Source organism: Homo sapiens, chromosome 10 (genome assembly GCF_000001405.40).
Source record: "Homo sapiens chromosome 10, GRCh38.p14 Primary Assembly".
Taxonomy (NCBI): Eukaryota; Metazoa; Chordata; class Mammalia; order Primates; family Hominidae; genus Homo; species Homo sapiens.
Window position 1 is genome coordinate 11,561,511 of NC_000010.11, and position 20,142 is coordinate 11,581,652.

At 37.3% G+C, this 20,142-nt stretch overlaps 1 protein-coding gene across 11 annotated transcripts in view; it reads right to left on the reverse strand.

Moving 5' to 3' along the window:
* Positions 1-20,142, reverse strand: part of USP6NL (USP6 N-terminal like) — a 151,141-nt gene that overhangs the window by 101,001 nt on the left and 29,998 nt on the right. For 3 of the 11 annotated variants that reach the window (XM_006717542.4, XM_047426036.1, XM_011519762.3), the window contains one exon: positions 892-975. The exons of 6 other annotated variants lie outside the window; for them this stretch is intronic. In XM_006717542.4, coding sequence (XP_006717605.1) covers positions 892-975 — 84 coding nt within the window. Of the gene's footprint in view, positions 1-891; positions 976-2,613; positions 4,129-12,095; positions 14,579-20,142 lie in introns of those variants that run through there. 2 more of the 11 variants (NM_001391959.1, NR_125732.2) reach the window with 2 other exon arrangements.

The window sequence follows — 20,142 nt, forward strand, 5'->3', positions numbered from 1 at the left end:
CAAATATATTTCATAGACATTTTTCCAGGTCTGTTCAGATAAATTAAGCTTACTCTTCTTAATACTATTGTACTTCACTATATGGATTTGCCATAATGCACTAACCTTTCTTCTACTGACAGATAAGTTCTACTGGTTTGGGTATTGTAAACAATGCTACAGTGAGGATCTTTGTGCATGTTATCTTTTGCGCAGATGCAGAAATGGTATTTCTATAGAATACTGACTTGCAGACTAGAATTAGTAGGCCAGATGAAACACAACTTTTAATTTTGATAAAGAATACCAATTTGTTCTCTTACCAACAATATGTGAGCACCTTTTTCATCACATTGAATACTGGTCCCATTTATTAATTTTAGCCAGTCTTGAAACAATATTTCATTATTGTTTATATATGCATTCTCAAACAATGTAATTTCCTATCCAGTATTCTCTCATCTTCCTAAAAGAATGCCAGATCTTTTTAAGCAAGGATGTTCTGAGTAAAAAAAAGAAATTTGCTCATGCCTGTAATCCCAGCACTTTGTGAGGCCAAGGCAGGCAGATCACGAGGTCAGGAGTTTAAGACCAGCCTGGCCAACATAGTGAAACTCCGTCTCTACTAAAAATACAAAAAATTAGCTGGATGTGGTGGCTGGCGCCTGTAATCCCAGCTACTTGGGAGGCTGAAGCCGGTAGGCGGAGGTTGCAGTGAGCCGAGATCGCACCACTGCACGCCAGCCTGGCGGACAGTGCAAGACTCCATCTCAAAAAAAAAAAAAAAAAATTGCATTCCCAGGACCCCCCTGCAGCTAGCAGCAGCCATGTGACACAGTTCCGGCTGATGGCTTAAGGAAAAGCTTTTGCATTCCTTACACAGGTGACACCAACTTCAGATTTCCCCTTTTCCTTTTTCTTCTTGCTTGGCTCTTGGACCTAAGGATGAAGACGCAGCAGTCATCACGTATCTCTGAGGACAAGGATTAAGTGTGGCTGAGGAGAAACGTGAAAAGAGCCGGGTCACTCAAGACATTGCTTGGCCACTGTGACTACTCTGAGTCTAGCTAGCCTGGACTGTTTCAGCCACTCAGCCAGGTTTTAAATTACTTGCAACTAAATGTAATTCTAACACTGAACAGTCCTCTAATTATTTGTGACACTCAACATTCATATGTTGTTAGCCACTTGTATTTCTGTAACTTGTCTATTTTATCTGCCAAATTTTCACTTGTTTCTTGATCTAAAAACGTGGAATTCCACACAGTACAATCATAAGTGAATTGCCTAATTTCTCAGTATTCTAGTTTTATTAGGCATTAGTAAATAAGTTTTAGAAGAATAATAGTAAGGGTCTTTTGGTAGTTTCTTGAAAAAGTAGACATCCACTTACCATGCAATCTATGAATCACATTCCTGGGTATCTATCCCACAGAAATAAAAATTTATATTTATGTCGACACAAAAATCTGAATGTTCATAGTAGCTTTATTTGTAATAGTAAAAAAAATAAAAAATAAAATAAAATAAATAAAAAACTTGAAACAATCCAAATATCCTTCAGTGTGTAAATGGTTAAACCAACTCTGGTACATCCATACTGTGGAATACTACTCATCAATAAAAAAGAGACAAACCATTGATACATGAAACAATTTCATGGATACTAAGTTTTAAAAAATCCCCAAAGATAATATAATATATGATTCCATTTATATAGCATTCTCAAGATGGTAAATTTATAGAGATGGAGAACAAATTCATTGCAAGGGGTTAGGGAAGTGCAGGGAGGTGTGGGAAGGGTATGATAGAAAGGGCATAGCGTTAAGGAAACCTGTGGTGATGAAACTCTTCTGTAACCTTGGTTCTGATGACGGTTACACAAATCTACACATGATAAAATTGCCGAGGACCCACCACACACACACACACATACACACAAATGTCACACATACACCACACACATGCATGTAAAACTAATGAAATCTGAATAAAGTCTGTGGATTGTACCAATATCAATATCCTGGTTTGATATTTAACTAAAGTTACATAAAAATGGAGGAAACTGAGTAAAAAGTACATGGGATTTCTCGGTACTGTTTTGCAATTTCCTATGAATCCATAATTATTTCAAAATAAGTTTTTCTGAAAAGTACTTAGTGCTGTTTTCAAAAACCCCATAATTAATATACCCATTCTCTGCTTTTCAACTTGCTCCCTGCAGAGTCTAGGTAAAGTTTTTCCTTCTTTTCAGCTCAACTCCAGTCCCACATTTCCAAGGCGAGGCTTCCCATGATAATCAGAAGTGCAAGAGAGCCAGGGTCTCCATCGACTCTACACAGACGACTCCCAGCCCCTGAGCATGCAGCCCTCAGGAAGCTGAGATTGTCAAGGACAGCCATTCCAAATTAGCATTTTGTTGACATTTTGGATTGTTCACATTACAGAAAGATAAGGGCTTTCTCACAATTAATAAAACTTCAGGGAATATTCAAATGTTCTTAGGTAGTCATTTAGATTAGTCCAAGCCAGATTTTCAAAGCACAGCATGTATATTTTGTTAGATGTTTCTGGTAACTGCCATCGTGAATCTAGCAGATGTTCAGGTAACAGTCATTAAAAGCGCTCCATGACTAAGTAGCATAATGACCTTTATTAATCACTGCATCTGGTGTTTGCCAAATGGGAGAGAAACAATACTCAAGCAGCCTTTTGTTAAGGGGTAACAAGTTATCTGAATGAAGATACTTCAGCACATTTAAATTATATTTAAATTATATCAAGATAGTGCTATAAACATTTAATTTCAAGTAGCATTCTCAATAAAATAACTCATTGCAAACCTAATTGCTCTCTAGAGAAGATTACTGGGCAGTCTGTTTCAGTAATAACATAAAGCAAGAATCGAATCCTCTCAGTAATTAGGTAACAGATTAAATTTATCAATTATCTACTATCTGTTATCTCACTTAGATGATAAGCCATAGAGAAACAAATACCAGGCAAGCTCATGAACCACCGAATTCTTCAGAATTATTCACTTTTCTCCAAAATGATTAATGAATTGCAGTCCTTGCCCTCAAGAAGCTCACAGCTTAATAAAGGGTACGACCCTCTAGAAAATAATCATATACACATACGCTGTAAGATAATAAGTAAAGACATATTCAAAGAGCTACTCTAAAGCATTTCCAGGTGGAACTTAGTACCTCTGCTCTACCAGTTCCCAGCTATCCCCTATGATACACCTAAAAAATCTGAGAAAGCAACACAAGATATTGCATGAGTGTCTGAGAACACTGAGTACCTTCAATTACATTGCAGGACCACATATACATTTGATTTATATTGCTGATTTCATAATATCCACTCTTTTCTCCATTAACATGATACAAAGTAACTTGCACAACATATATTTGGGACAGTACATGCAATCCAAAATGCAGCTCTTGATATTGACTAATTATGGATTTGACACTTGTACTGCCATTTATTAAGCAACTCACAGTAACAAGTAGAGAAGTTGTATGATCTTACTACACCACAGATAGTCATCATTCTACAGGAGTTAACGTTTCTACAGTTTTTTTCTCACGTGAAGTTAATAGCCCGTTTAAAGTGAAAAATAACCTAAATCATACCTGGATGTCACTATCATAGAAACAAAAACTAAGTTTTGCTTCTTATATTAAGTGATACTTTTTCTTTTAACACTATTTTTCCTTTGTTAAACATATGCGATACACACTTGAGTATACCCAAGAAGACCACAGAAAGAAGCAACATAGAGCAAATCAAAGAACATGAGAGATAACTTAAAAAAGCAAGAAACCAAGATAAAATCAGCATCCTTTAAGAATGTAGCATCCAGGCCGGGCGTAGTGGCTCACACCTATAATCCCAGCACTTTGGGAGGCCGAGGCGGGTGGATCACGAGGTCAGGAGATCGAGACCATCCTGGCTAACATGGTGAAACCATGTCTCTACTAAAAATACAAAAAGATTAGCTGGGCGTGGTGGCGGGTTCCTGTAGTCCCAGCTACTTGGGAGGCTGAGGCAGGAGAATGGTGTCAACCTAGGAGGCGGAGCTTGCAGTGAGCCGAGATTGCGCCACTGCACTCCAGCCTGGGTGACAGGGCAAGACTCCGTCTGAAAAAAAAAAAAAAAGAATATATCATCCAGAAAGCATCTGCAATGGTGATGTGCATGTCACCACAGCGTAGGGTAGCAAACTGCAGTGATCACAGCTACTATCCAGCCGCTCACCATTGAAGCCAATATGGACAGGAGTGGAGAGGCTGGTTAAGGAGGAGTACATTTCTAATGCTGACATCACAGGTGGCAGAATGGGTTTTGGATTCCCTTTACTTCAGATTACTTGAACAAACGTAGTTTTGATATTAATAGCAATACTGATTGCAATTCAAATATTGAAGATTCTTACTCTTCAACCAGCATATGTCCAGCATTTATCATATGCACAGATAATAGTGCTCCACATGCCAGGAGAGTTTATATGCCATTGGAAGAGATGGCCATCACCACTAAATATTTTTAACAACAAAGGCAGTGATTAATGGAATAAAACACAGGGCTAGAGCTGGATGGCTATGAAAATGAGCTGGGAAGGGCAGGCTGGACTCTCTGAAATGCCTGATGAAGGAGGCTGTACTTCACCCTGAAAGCAGTGAGCACTCATAATAAATTTTTAAGCTAGAGTGTGTGGCAGAAACATGAGTCTAAACTGTGGTAAAAGAGAAACATGAAAAATGCATTCAGCAGGTTGGCATATATAAACAGTTTCTCAAAGGGCAATAAAAGATACCGAAAGGACAAAAAAATCGGTACACACACAAAGCATAATAAATCTGAACACCACGCATATTTGTTTATTTACCAAACGCCACATATTTACTGTGTGCTTAAATGGGGGCCATTCTAAGCACTTTACAAATGTTGCCTCCTTCAATCCACATTCACGAACTTATAAGAACTTTTGTTTGAGGTTATTAATCCAATTTTACATATGAGGAAACTGAAGCACAGAGAAACTAAGTTGCTCAAGGTCACAAGACTAGTAAGTAGTGGATTCGAGAGCTGAACTCGGGCAATCTGGCTATACAATCTATCCAATACTGTCCAACAGAGCTTGCTGCAATGTGGCTATTGAGTACTTAATATGTGGCTAGAATGAGGAACTAAATTTTTTATTTTACTTAATTTTAATTATTCAACCACATGTGGCTACTGGCTACCATGCTGGAGAGTTCAGACCATATTCTTAATTAATATACGGACCTGCTTTACTAAGAGACTCAGAGACAAGCAAGAGAGGAATGGTGCGGGGCACAGTGGCTCACGCCTGTAATCCCAAAACTTTGGGAGGCCAAGGCAGGAGGACTGCTTGAGCTCAGGCATTTGAGACCAGCCTGGGCAACACAGTGAGACTTCATCTCTACCAAATATAAGACAAAATTAGCCAGGCACGGTGGCGCATGCCTGTAGTCCCAGCTACTTGGGAGGCTGAGGCAGGAAAATCACTTGAGCCGAGGAGTTCAAGGCTGCAGTGAACTATGATCTCACCACTGTACTCCAGCCTGGCTGACAGAGCCTGACCTTGTCTCGAAAATTTAAAAATGGGGGAGGGGAAAGAATGGTGCTTAAATAGTCCATTGCAGTCAATTTCATTCTTTAAATTTCATTTTATTTTTAATTGACAAATAATTGTATATGTTTACAAATTTAATGGTTTAAACAATTCAAAGAAAACCTTTCAAGGTCATTTCAAGTTTCAAGCAACAACTGACTGCAAAATTTACCAACTTACTTCAAAAACTCCTTTCCATAGTTAAGACAATACACTGGGCCAACGAGCTAAACAAAATGGACTCATTTTTCTTTAAAACATTATTAAATTAATTACAACCTGTACTAAATACATCTCCCTAAAACAAAGTCTTGACAAAACTTTTATTAACTAACTCTACCCACAACATACACAATTTTGACTTCAAATATGACATAGCTGAATTTAAGGAATAAATATACTGCTTATAGTTTTCCAAGTACAAATGAGCTGACACAGTTATAGAAATTAACAAACATCACTATATTGAAACAGACTGCTATCCACAGAGCTCTGTATTCTGTTCCAGACATAAACACCTACAAACAAATTATTAGCCATCTAAGAGATCAGAAGAGCAATATCAGCAACAGAATAACAACAATAATAAAAATAACAAAAATACCAACAGCAGCTTACCTTTATTCCTTACAGTGTGGCAGGCACTGTGTGAGTCCCTCATACACATGACCTCACACAGCCCTCATAACACCTGGGAAAATATACACTATTATTACCTCTACTTTTCAGATAAAGAATCTAGTGTACAGGGAAGTTCCATAACTTGCTCAAGGCTAAACAGCAAATGAGCGAGCAAATCCAGGATCGAGACCTCTGTCTGTCTGATTAATGCCCACGCTCTTAGCTAACCACTTCTGCGCTGCCTTTCCTTTTCATTAAACCACTCACGTAACTGTGGATCAGCTTAGCGGTCACGTGTGAAAATCTCTAAAAGCTAGTCACAGCTAAGCCAAATGCACAACCTTCTAAGACTACTGTTACCTGATGTATCAATGTGTGTGTCGGGAGGTAGTTGTGTGTGTGTGTGTGTGTGTGTGTGCGCGCGCGCGTGCTTGTATGCAAAGAGTAAACATAGGGAGGCATTATGAATTGACACTGTAATTCAAGAGGTTACCATAAAAAACAAAAATGGCTTCAAGAAACTAATTAGAATATGAATGTCAATGCTCTGTAAGATCTTAGAGAACATCTAATCACATTATAGATAGTAAACACCATGACACAAAGACATTCGCTGACTTACCTAAAGTCATATGATAGTAAAACTAGATCACAGGTCTTCCAACTCCCAAATCAATATCCCTCTCACCACATTCTAATGGCCATATCCGTGTTTCACCTTAGGATATATGCTACTTCTAAATACGACTGCCAAATCCCAGCACAGAACAAAGTACTTTGTAACAGTGTTTTAGTTTTATATTTAAATGACATGCTTTTACTTCTAGTCTTATTCTTTATCACATTAGAAACCATACTAGTGAGAATCACTTTGACTACAAGTAAAAGGCCAAAAATTCTAGAGGTAACTAGGGGTTGGTACAAATGTTCCTTAGTGTCACTGGTGTCACAGAAGACTAGCCTCCTATGTTTCTTCTCCCCCATATTGCTTTTGTCCTTACGGTCACATCATGGCTGCCATTACTCCATGAATTGCACTCACATTCCAGGTAGAAAGAAAGATGTAACAGAAAAGCAGAGGTGACAACTGTCTCAGAAGGTAAAACCTTTCCAGAAATCCTCAGCAGGCTTTTGCTTACATCTTAAGAAAGAGAGTTCATTTGCTGGTTTGTTTTTTAACCTAGGGCACTAACACTCTAAACACAAGAGAGAATGGAGATTGGGTGGACAATGAACACTGTCTGTCACAAGCAGCCATTTCTCAAGTTCTCATTAAATAATTCTTGTCATAGTATCTTCTTTTTTGTCAAGGGCATGAATCCTTTGTAAATAAAGAACTACAAACCTACAACCAAATAAAGTAAATTAGATGCTATAACTTTAGTTTTGTAAGCTTAAATTGTCAACATATATAGCAAAATGAGTACATTTTAAATATAAGCTGAAAACGATTATCCACCTACAAAATATCTGCGATATCTGAAATATCTACAAAATATCTGAAAGGGTTCATTTTTGGATTTTTCTATTGCTTAAGTTATTAGCTATAATATTTCGCTGATCTAAGACCATATTATGGCAATTTTAACCATCTAAAACACAGCTAAAAAAACAGGATGGAAGTAGAAACGTTCAGTAAGTCAAATCAACAAATGTATTGCAATTAACATTTATTGGTCAATTTAATAAATATAACCTTCACGTATAGAATTTTTAAAGTGTAGTAATAGAAGCAAAAGCAAAATGCTAAGAGAATATAAAGAAAGAAACGATTCAATCTAACCTAGAGAGGTGAGGGGAGAACAAGTCAGAGAACATGCTTTTTGGCAGGAGTGGCACTGGAACCCGAAGGCTGATCGATAAGGAATGTGACTGCTGGAGAAGGAGGGAAAAACTCGCCATCCAGATGGAGCAGCACATTTGGGAAGCAGCAAGTATTCTGATGTAGCTGGCACAGAGGGTGCGTGGAGAGATTCAGTGATACAGCCAGAAATACTGCATAGGTTAAGCCTGAATTCTAGGTTTTATGGCAAATTGTTTCAGAAAGCTATTTCAGACAGCAATGGAAGGGTGGCACACAGAGTTAAATGATCATGCTTCTTCTCGCCTCCTCCCCCTATCACCCTAAGAGAATTTCCAAACATCTTTACACGGATTCTTCATGTTTGGGCACCTGCGTCACCTATTTTCTTGCCATACTTAACAATTTGCAGCTTTCCCAACACATTGTGCCCTCTCTTATCTTCATGACTCCTCCTTTGGGATGCTCACACAAACTCTCTTTTTCCCTAAGCTAGCTAGCTAGCCTTTATGCATGCTTTCAGACTTGGCTCAACTGAGAGCATCAGTCACCTCATCAAACAATTTAATTCCTTCAGTCCTCTCACCACCAAATGAGGGAAAGTTAAGAGGGTCCGTTAAGTACCTCCCCGCTTGAGGTTCCATGAGCTTGTCTATTATAATGCCTGTCATACCACTGTAATCACTGACTTTTGTCTCTGACCACTTGCATCTGAGCTCCTTGAGGATATATCTCTACGCCCTTGCATCTAAGATGCAGCAAGTATTCAATATATGTTTATTGAATAAAATGAATGAGGAGGCTACTGTCATAATCTAGAGGAAAAGTATGAAGGAATGAACGTGGAAATGGAAAGGTCAGGACAGATACCAAAGCTCCTATGTCTTAAAAACAAGAGAGACCTTCAAGGCCCTTATTCAAAATCTACTCTTACTTTAGTACTAATTTTAATAACCTTGGTCGTTCGGTTCTCTACCTACAGAAAATGCAAAATGAATTTGAATTAAGAAAAATTCAATCATATTTAGCATACTTCTGTTTAACAAGATAGAGAAACATACACTGTTTTTCAAAAGTTTTAATTCAAATAAACATGAGGCTTTTAAAGGAGAAAAGCAGGATCTTCAGTAACACACAGCTCTTATGATTACATTTACGCCTTACACACATCTGAAGAGATGGTGTGGCTTTACTTTTCAGTCGGCTCGATGGTGTCTCACCTTGCCAATCTAGTGGAGCTTGGCCCTAGAGATGCAGGCTAATGAGGACATTTGAAGGGAAAACGGTGAAAGTTTGTTGTTCCAATTTGCATAGTTATCACTCGCCCCATCCTTTTCCCTGGTCCACCAGGTTACATTGTCTTAACTCTGCCCATGACAGCCTCAGGTCAAAACACACTAACCCACTAGACTATGTTGCCTAACTAAACAAACACTTATTAGACAAGACTGTCTTAACAAATGCATGTTACACCATTCATCTAGTCTTTCATTCACTTTTATAATTTCCCTCCCTCCCCAAAATAATTCTTTTTTTTTTTTTGAGACAAAGTTTTACTCTTGTTGCCCAAGCTGGAGTGCAATGGCGCAATCTCAGCTCACCGCAACCTCTGCCTCCCGGGTTCAAGCGATTCTCCTGCCTCAGCCTCCTGAGTAGCTGGGATTACAGGCATGCACCACCACGCCCGGCTAATTTTGTGGTTTTTTCAGTAGAGACATGGTTTCTCCATGTTCGTCAGGCTGGTCTCGAAATCCCGACCTCAGGTGATCCGCCCACCTCGGCCTCCCAAAGTGCTGGGATTACAGACATAAGCCACCGCGCCCAGCCCCCAAAATAATTTTTAACCATATCCTTGACTCTTACTTAGCATAAGTTTGTTTCTATCGCATACCAAGGAAAACTATTTGATAAAAACTTCTCTCAAACCATTTATCGTAATTTTATCCCCAACTTTGATACTTCTAGGATAATTTTCTCTTCACAAATCAATTTTTCATACTATTTATAATATTAATATGAATACAATACTTAGAAATGCTACATTCTCTCTACATCCATCCAAATTCATATCATATTTTAAAGAACTGAATTTTTTTTTTTAAATTCTCTTCTTAGGGGTCAGTGTTTTATATTTGTCCATATGACTTTTTTTTTCAAGGAGTCTGTCAATATGAAAAATTGGTAAGATGTAACAATATTCTGCAAAAGGATAAAATAGTAAATTGGTTAATGATGAAGAACACTATTAGAAGAGGTTTGAAAAAGCAAGCTTCTAAGAAAAAAATCTATGTATATACTTCCTGTTTTTCACAAAAAAAAAAACTGTCTGAAAAATTTTAAACAAAAGTCTGAGAACAAAAGCCATTCTACTACTTTAATATACTACTCCTACTACTTTAATATAATAAGATATAAATATCTTATTTAATATATAACTATCTTTTGGTAGTATTTTTCATATATCCACATGATGTTTCCTGTAATATATGAGATATATCTATATATGAGCATTTTAAAAGGCACAAAAATTATTATTCTTTTCCCTGGGTATATTCCAAGTAACTATGATTGTGAATGAAAACAAAAACTAAAAAAAATTCCAATAAAAAATTCTGACTGTAAAGGTCAAACTACATAAATCTGACATTTTCAAACAGATGGGATTAAATTAACTAATTTATATTCTCTGGAAATAGTAAAAGCTATTTTCTTTAAATACCTAATTGTTAGAATCCTGCTATTTAGAGATGGGAATGTAGTTTTCTATTTCAGAAGGGGAGCAGAAATAAAGTAGAAAGCAGGAGATAAATAACTGTAAAGTATCCTAAATAATACTGCCACATTTTCAAAGGTAAATGACAACAGTCTCTCTGCTTTTTGAGATGCGTATCTGTTCAATCACTTAAATACCACATTCTTCCACAAAATGAAATAAAAAAAAAAAGACAAGATGTCTAAGATTTCTTTCAGCTCTAATATTCTTTATATGGTTGACTATTTTATGTATCACAATTCATACTATCATGCTAAATCATTTTACTAAGACTTATGGAATCTCATAAGCTTTACTTTAAAACACAGATTATATCACATTAAAGAAAAAATATAAAGTAATCTACATTTTATATCTGAGTTATATGTACACTTTTCAAATCATATAAAGATAGAATGCTTAATACATGTGAATGCTTACATGTGAAAAGGCTGATATATCAATTTACCAACTGATTTTAAACCATAATTTAGTGAAATTGCCAATATAATCAACTGACTTGATGGCCTGTGATTTTTGAAAATCAATTCCTAATTATCATTTTAGAATTGTACTATTTTAAATGCTTAAAAAGTAAAATATATAAGTATATCTTTAAAGATGTATCTACATTAGCTCATTTAAGATCTGTAAGTTAGACATGCAATTTTAAAATGTTTTCAAAAATGTATTTCAGCATATTCTAGACACACGCTATGAATATAAGACTGTTTTTAATATAATTAACATTGACTAAACATATAATCATAAACAGAATTATTCACTAAAAAAGGCAATAAAATCTACTATTCATTGGCTAAATTCATATTTATAACTATTATTTTATCAGCTATTCACACAAATAAAAATCATCTAGTTCTTATGTTCTACCACAGGCAGAATCCTAGCTTGTTCTCTTCTGATGTCTGCTATGAATATTTATATTTTAAAATTAAAAGAAATGAGGATTACAAAAATTATTCTTCTACCTCCAAAATACATAATGCAAGAGGATCTTTAAAACATGAAAAGTACTATTACAGCAGCAATGCAATAACCTCCCCTTACTCTGTACCTCTTAATAATATCCCCCTAATTTTTGTTCAAAAACAGTAATAATGAGGCATGTTAACAATTATGCCATTACCTGATCCTTTTCAGATACCATAATATATCAGAAATGCAAAAGCATACACGGAAACTCAAAACCCCTTTTTATAGCACATCCTTGGGTCCATACTTAGCAAAATCTGAGTGCCCTGAAAGTGCTTGATTGTTCATTCTGCTAATCCTACCTTCCTTCACTGTGGCTGCTTTTTGCCTTGATGGTGTCACCAGCTCCTTTACAATCTGCAAGACTTGAATCATTGCTAGTTAACAAGCCAAAGACTCCAGCTGCTTCCTCTAGAAATCCAACAGGTTTCATCACCAGAAGCTCATTTCTGCTTTCAGAAAGCTCAAGCACGAACACAGTTCAACTTCAGAGAAATGAATGCTTTGCCTAGCTATCCATGAAGGCTCTGAAGCAGTTAATAAGAAACAACGAAAGGATAGGCTGTATCTTCTTGAAATGATGGATTCAAAGTGATTTCAGCACGTGTGAAAGCCCCATCCTCAAAGTCCAAAATGTATTACTATGCACAGCCTTAACTAGTTATAAACAAAACAAAACAAAATGTGGGTAATCTTCTGTAAATCACTAAGCAAAGTGAAAACATTTTCTCACAAAAGCCATGACAGAAAAAATAAAGTGCTCTGCTATAAATTTTCACAGTGCATCACAGATGCTATGTGCAAGTTTTTAAGTAGTCAACCAAAATACCCTGCACTGTCGAAAGCCTTAATACTTTTTTCCAATTTCTCAAAAACCTTGTATTTGAAACGGAAAATAAAATGTGGATAAAAATAAAATCTATCTTGCTAACTCTAAGCTCCCAGATTTGCATAAAAGATATGGTGCCTCAAAAATATCCTATAAATTCCTTGTCCTCCTCCTCACATATACACCTCTGACATCCCAGTCCATGAATAGAAGTCTAAATTCACATGCACACTAGAAATTCCCATAGGAGTCTGTAAATTCAATGGTCTCAACATCCAGCGGCATGGACCAGATAATTTCAAAACAAGTATAACCACTGCTCCTTCCATATGATGTTTAACAGCCAAGTTGTAACAAATGCTGAATTAATATTTAATATATTTGTTATATGTTCTATTTATCCCATAGCAGCCCTTCTCAAAGTAAACCTACAGAGTTAACTAAAAGAGAAAAATGACACTCAGGTGAACATGGCTAAATGCTATGTTTATTAAACTGATTCTCCACCAGCAATTTGTTCCTCTTACTGTACTGCCAATTTTCCTCTCCTATTTTTCTTTCCTTCCCATGAATTATTTTGACATTTTTAACATATCATAAAATATTAGATCCCAGAGCAAATCAGAGGCAGTTCCTTTGCCTTCAGACAGTTAAAGGCTTGTTATTTTCCCATTTTTCAGCTGGACAACTGAGCACAGTGAATCAACCAAGGTTACAAGTAAACCGATCCAAAAATCAGCCTTCTGCTTTCTCTCCAGCAAGCACCGTCTGTAAAAATGTCTAGTTTTAAAATTCAAGGTGAAGTTTTCAGCTCTTCAGACACGACGTGCTACACCATGTACATATATACCACCCATAATGTATGCTCCATATGGGTGTTAGGTTCAGAAATCAGTGCTCCAAGCCATGACAGTGAGAAAATACTTGGAAAGAGAGGACAAAAGAGGACCACTCTCCTAATTCCCTATTATCTTTAAAGAATATGTTCGTACTCACAAACTAAATCAAAGTAAGAGTTCAGATGGGTCAAAGACTAAGTTTTAAACCTCAAGTCAAAACTGTGATCTTGAATCCTTCTGTAGATGTAAATTTAAACAAATAAAAGTAGAAATCTAACTCCTCAATTCAAGTTTCCCCAATTCTCTCTGTGCCTCATCCCACTTCCTAGGGCAGTTTGGGACACGTAATAAGTGTTAAGTATCTACTGCCTTTGTTTTCCAATCATGTTTCCAGCTCCTGAGAAATTACTTCCTCTCTTCTGGAGAGAAGATCTTTGGAAGGTACTGTTTTGACAGGTAACTTTCCATTAGCTTTCCTCTCTCCCAGTCTTTCTCTTTCTGCAAGGAAGGAGATAAGCAGGACATTAACCTCTCAGTCAACTATTTCCTCCATACCTGGCCAGGGAAGAGAGGAGTATCTAAATTCATGTCTCATAAATTTCAATCATCATCTTCCTTATCTCACTGGTATTATCACTGGTTTTGAAAATGAAAATCACATAGCAATCACTTTGAACACATTGGTTCACTACTGTCAATGCTTAGCTTCTGCTAAGCAATCAATAGCTTTTTCTTGTTTCTCTCATTTTTCATCACACATTGCATCAGTAAGAATATCTGATCACATACTCTGATGTATGTAACTGAGCTGAACTCTTTAAAATGCCAAAGTCATAGAAGACAAAGACAGACTGAGAAAGTGTTACAGATTAATCGAGTCAGGATAACAAAATGCAAAACAGGATCCCAGATTAGATAGTAGGCCAAAAAGGGTGAGGGGAAATACGGGACATTTTGGGAGAAGAGGTGAAATTTGAATATAGTCTATAGATTCATCAGTTAATTTCCTAACTATGACCACTGCACTGTAGTTATGTAACAGAACATCTTGGATTTCAGGATATATACTTCAAAATAGTTACGGGTAAATACTTCAACTCACTCTCTAACACTTCAGGAAAAAAAAAAAAAGCAATAATATTAACACAGGATGAGCAAACAAATGTCATAAAATGTTAACGCTGGGGAAATCCAGGTAAAAGAATATGAGAATTGTCTATGCTATTCTTGCAACATTTTCCTAAGTCAGAAATTATTTCAAAATAAAAAATTAGATCCTGACTCACTCTCTCTGGAGTGTACCCAGAAGAGGCATGGTGGAGCAGTGGGACAACATAGGTGGATCTTCTCACTTCAGTATTTTATCCCACTGGTCAATTCCCTCCATGCCGTGATCTGAATGTCTAAGTTCCCCCAAAATTCCTGTGTTAAACCTAACCCCCAAGGTGATGGTATCATGAAGCAGGACCTTTGAGAGTTGATTAAATCACAGGAGCAGAGCTTTCATTAATGGGCTTAGTGCCCTTACAAGAGGTAATCCCAGAGAGCTGCCGTGCCTTTCCACGACGTGAGGAGAAGCTAGAAGGCGCCATCTATGAACCAGAAAGCAGGCCCCTAACAGACATTAAATCTGCCAGTGCCTTGATCTTGGACTTCCCAGCCTCCAGAACTGTAAGAAATAAACTTCTATTGTTTGTAAGCTATCCAGCTTATGATATTTTGTTAGAACAGCCCAAACAGAATAACACAAGGGCTACATCCCATTGGTTAAATTGACTGTAACTTCATAATAAGTCCTGATATCTAATAGAAAAAAATCCTCCCTCTCTGATATTATTCAGAAATGTCCTAGCTACTTTTGGCTCTTTATCTTTCCACCCTTTCCATATAAAATTTAAAATCACCTAATAAGTTCCCTGGTAAGCCTGATTGTGATTTAATTTGAATTTCATTGGTCTATATGCCAACTAGGTAGAAATGATATTTTTCAGATACAAAGTTTTCCTGTACAAAAAACATGGTATATTTCTCTATTTCTAGGTCCTCCTAAAATCCTTTTTTAAAAATATATAATTTTCCTTTAGAATTCTTTTTTTTTTTTTTTTCGATGGAGTCTGGCTCTGTCACCCAGGCTGGAGTACAGTGGTGCGATCTCAGCTCACTGCAAGCTCCGTCTCCTGAGTTCATGCCATTCTCCTGCCTCAGCCTCCAGAGTAGCTGGGACTACAGGCGCCTGCCACCAGGCCAGATGCCAGGCTAATTTTTTTGTATTTTTAATAGAATGGGGTTTCACCATGTTAGCCAGGATGGTCTCGATCTCCTGACCTCGTGATCCACCCACCTCGCCCTCCCAAAGTGCTGGGATTACAGGTGTGAGCCACCACGCCCAGCCTAGAATTCTTACATATCTTTCATTAGATTTATTTCTATTTTTTCTGATACTATTGAAAACGGAGTCTCTTAATTGCCTTTTCACTGCTGATACATAAGCATGCAACTAACTTCTGTATATTAGTTGTTTGTTTTTTTGTTTGTTTGTTTTGGGGGAGGACAGAGTCTCGCTCTGTCAGCCAAGCCGGAGTGCAATGGCGCAATCTCGGCTCACTGCAACCTCCGCCTCCCAGATTCAAGCAATTCTCCTGCTTCAGCCTCCCGAGTAGCTGGGATTACAGGTGCCTTGCCACCACACCTATCTTTGTATTTTTAGTAAAGACAGGGTTTCACCATGTTGGTTGGCCAAGCTGGTCTCGAACTCCTGACCTCAGGTGACCCGCCTGCCTCGGCCCCCCAAAGTACTGGGATTACAGGTGTGAGCCACCAGGCCAAAGTGCTGAGATTACAGGCGTGAGCCACTGTGCCTGGCCTTGTACCTTAGTACCTGTAGCTACATTGTTAACATCTTCCTTATTTCTAACAATTTATGTGTAAATTCTTCTGGTTTTCTCTACCTAATAAAAGAAAAAAAAATACAGGTGATGTTATTATACAGGTGATGTTATTTTCTTTTTCTGAGACAGAGTCTCACTCTGTCGTTCAGGCTGGAGTGCCGTGGCACAATCCTCACTGCAACCTCTGCCTCCCAGGCTCAAGTGATCCTCCCACCTCAGCCTCCCAAGTAGCTGGGACCACCAGCTACTCAGGGTGTGCCACCATGCATAGCTAATTTTTTATATTCTTTATGGAGACAGGGTTTCACTATGTTGCCGAGGCTGGTCTGGAACTCCTGAGCTCAAGCAATCCGCCCGCCTCAGCCTCCCAAAGAGCTGGGATTATAAGCATGAGCCACCACACCCAACCTCATCTGTAATTTATGAACAATTCATTTCCTCCTTCCAATCCTTATACTTCTAATCCATTTTTCTTGTTTTACTGCACTGGCTAAGACCATCAATACAATCTTTAATAGAAGTGGTTCTAACCGGCATACTTTTCTACTTTTTTAATTTTAAAGGGATGCTTTCAACATTTTCCAATTTAAGATGATGCTTGCTTTAAGCCTTTTATAGATACTCTATCAGGCTACTCAAGAGGCAAAGGCGGAAGGATCCCTTGAGCCCAGGAGTTTGAGGCTGCAATGAGCTATGATTGCACCACTGCACTCCACCTCTAGCCTGGGCAACAGAGTGAGACTCTATCTCTAAAAAAAATAAATCAAAATTATTTTTTAAAATTTTTAAAGAATTCAGATATAGACACCCTTCATCAGGTTAGGGAAATCCCCTTCCATTCCTGATTTAGAACAGTGATTTGAGAATGTTATTTTTAAATGTCAATACAATATATGAAAATATCATCCTTTATAACTACAGAATTTAAAAGCTACAATAAAAACCTTTCTATTTCAACTTAAAAACCTGAGGGATCAGTTTATGTCATTTTACTAGGTACTTGCTAGGTACATGCAGTGATGTGCCACATCTCGTTTATATCAGCTTGCTGGTAGCTTGAAGTTTTAAAATTGACTGTGGTGGGTGTTTTTATACCACAGAAATTAGCAAACACTACAATCGGGGTTTTCCCCCTCCCACACTCCCCAGTAGCTGGTTGTTAAACATTTACCAGCACAACACTGGATGCAGGGGGAAAAAAAGTTTGAAGATCCTGTAAGTAATACTTACATTCATTCAACAAGCATTCATTGAGCATTTACTATGTGCTAGGTAGGCACTGGGAATTAGAGACTTAAGACACTCATAACCAAGAAGAATGTGCTAAGTGGCAAAGTAGCACCAAAACCAATTTTGAGTTGACAGGGCAGGTTGCAATACAGAATCAGGAACCAGGCAATGTAACATCAGAATACCATATGGAAAAATCTTTCAAACCACAAATTGATAATCACTTCCCTGTCTAAAAACATTAATGGCTTTCCATTTGCACACAGATAAGTTTAAATTCCTTAGCATAGAGTGTGGCCTCATTAATAAGATAGTCCCCATCTATCACTGCAGACACGATTCCTGAAGTTTCTTGCCAGTACTACTTCAATTACATGCAGTGCGCACATGACACTTTCCTCCATTCCCTGAATACAACACCATTGCCTTTGTATATTCCATGCACCCTGCCTACAGGAACTTCCCCATTTTCTCTACTCAGATTTTCAAGACCTAATTTTTGTTATCTCCTTAAAGAGGTCTTCCCAATCTTATCAGGGCATTAATTAGCTGTTCCCTCTCTCCCCATACCTACAACACCCTATACATACCTAAATCTATCAGAACGCTTATCCCAGTGAATTTTAGCTATTCACAAGTTATTTTCCTGCCCCAGACCATGTCCCTCATGGGGGAGATAGACTAGATCTACAGTCTGCAAACATTTTCTATAAAAGCTAGATAGTAAATGTTTTCTATTTTGTGAGCCATGTGGTCACTGTTGTAACTACTCAACTCTATTGTACAATACACAGACAATACACACATGAATGTGCGTCCAAATATGACCCATAGGCTGTAGTTTGCAGATTACAAACCACCAGTGGAGAGTGGCGGGGGGGGGGCAGCAACGTCTAAAGACACTTTTGATAGTCACAACAGGAGGTGGGGTACTATGGCATCTAGTGCATAGACCCAAAGATGCCGGTTAACATCCTACAATTTACGTAACAGCCTCCACGAGAATTATCTAGCCCCAAAAGTCAATAGTGATGAGTTGACAAACCCTGCCCCAGACCATGTCCCTCATGGATGGTGACCTTGTCCTGAGTAACATCTGAAGCTTTCCTATTATAGCTTTAGACTCATTAGTTGTTATTTAATAAAGATTTGGGTATATCAATAATTAAACAATATAATTTCTAAAAATTTCCTAATTAGATAAATCAAAATCATGATCTCCATTTTGGCAGAAAGAATCAAAAGCCTTAGCCTTTTGCATACTATCTGAACAGTAATATTATGACAGTAATTTTATATTAACAAATATAGTCATGCACACAAATTTAGCTACAAGGATGTTTGCAATGTGTATTATTTATAATTGCAAAAAAAATGGGAAATAATCGAAATGTCCGACAACAAGAACTTAATAAAGTTTCAGTGAGTGTACACCATGGAATACTAGACGGCATTAAAAAAATTGCATTCTAGACAAGTGATTGTCAATCTGCAGTGAAATCACCTGGGGAGTTTCAAAGGACTGATGGCTGAACCCATCCACAGGGACTGTGACTTCATTGTCCTAGGGTGCAGCCTGGGCACCACAAAGTTTAAAAGCTCCCCTAAATGATCCTAACCTTCAGCCATGGTTCAGAACCACCATTCTAGAAGAATGACATAGGAAAAGCTAACTATAAATGACTATGTAAACATGAAAGGTATAAAATATCATGATTTCACTCGTTGGATGGATGGATTGATGGAGGAATGAATGGATGAATGACGAACGGATAGATGATGGATGGATGGATGGATGGATGGATGGATGGATGGATGGGGGAGGCACACAAAGGAAAAATATCAAAATCTTGTTTGGCCCTAAATATAAAAAGTACAAGAGTACTGGTATAATTCTAAAGCAAAATTATACTATTATTCAGAGCAAATAATGTTATAAGTAATTCAAACCAACACCCTAGACTCTTAAAGAATTACAAACTAATAGGTCTCTATTTTCTTCTTTTTGTCAATACACATCTCTAATAGTTTTTCTTATTATTATAATAATAATGAATGTTCACTATAGAAAAATAAGAATCTAACACTAAGCCAAAAGAAAATAAAAATCTGTCTTAGGTCCCACATACAGAGATAAGCACTACTGACAATCTTTTAGACTTACTTTGTACTTTTTGTTACTGATTTTACAAAAGTGAGGTACTATTATGCATATTCTTTTGGAACTAACGTGTTTTCACACTTTCATATGTGTCATCAACATCACTTTTATGCAAAAAACACAGACAAGAATATTTGGACTCTGCTCTAAGCCTACAAATTCTTTTGATCATACGAATAACAACCCAGCATCTTTTCATTCTTGGCAATGATTCAGACTTTTTTTAACCCACTTTTCAGAAAACTTTTTTGGCTTTCCTGGAAATACATTTCAGAATTGAACTACTGTCATCCTTTTCAGAACATGTAGATAAATGAGATGAAAAAAATGTGAGAGATGATTTTATTGTGACAAACATAATCTGTAAATATTCAAGATGTCCACTGGCCTGAAAATATAAAG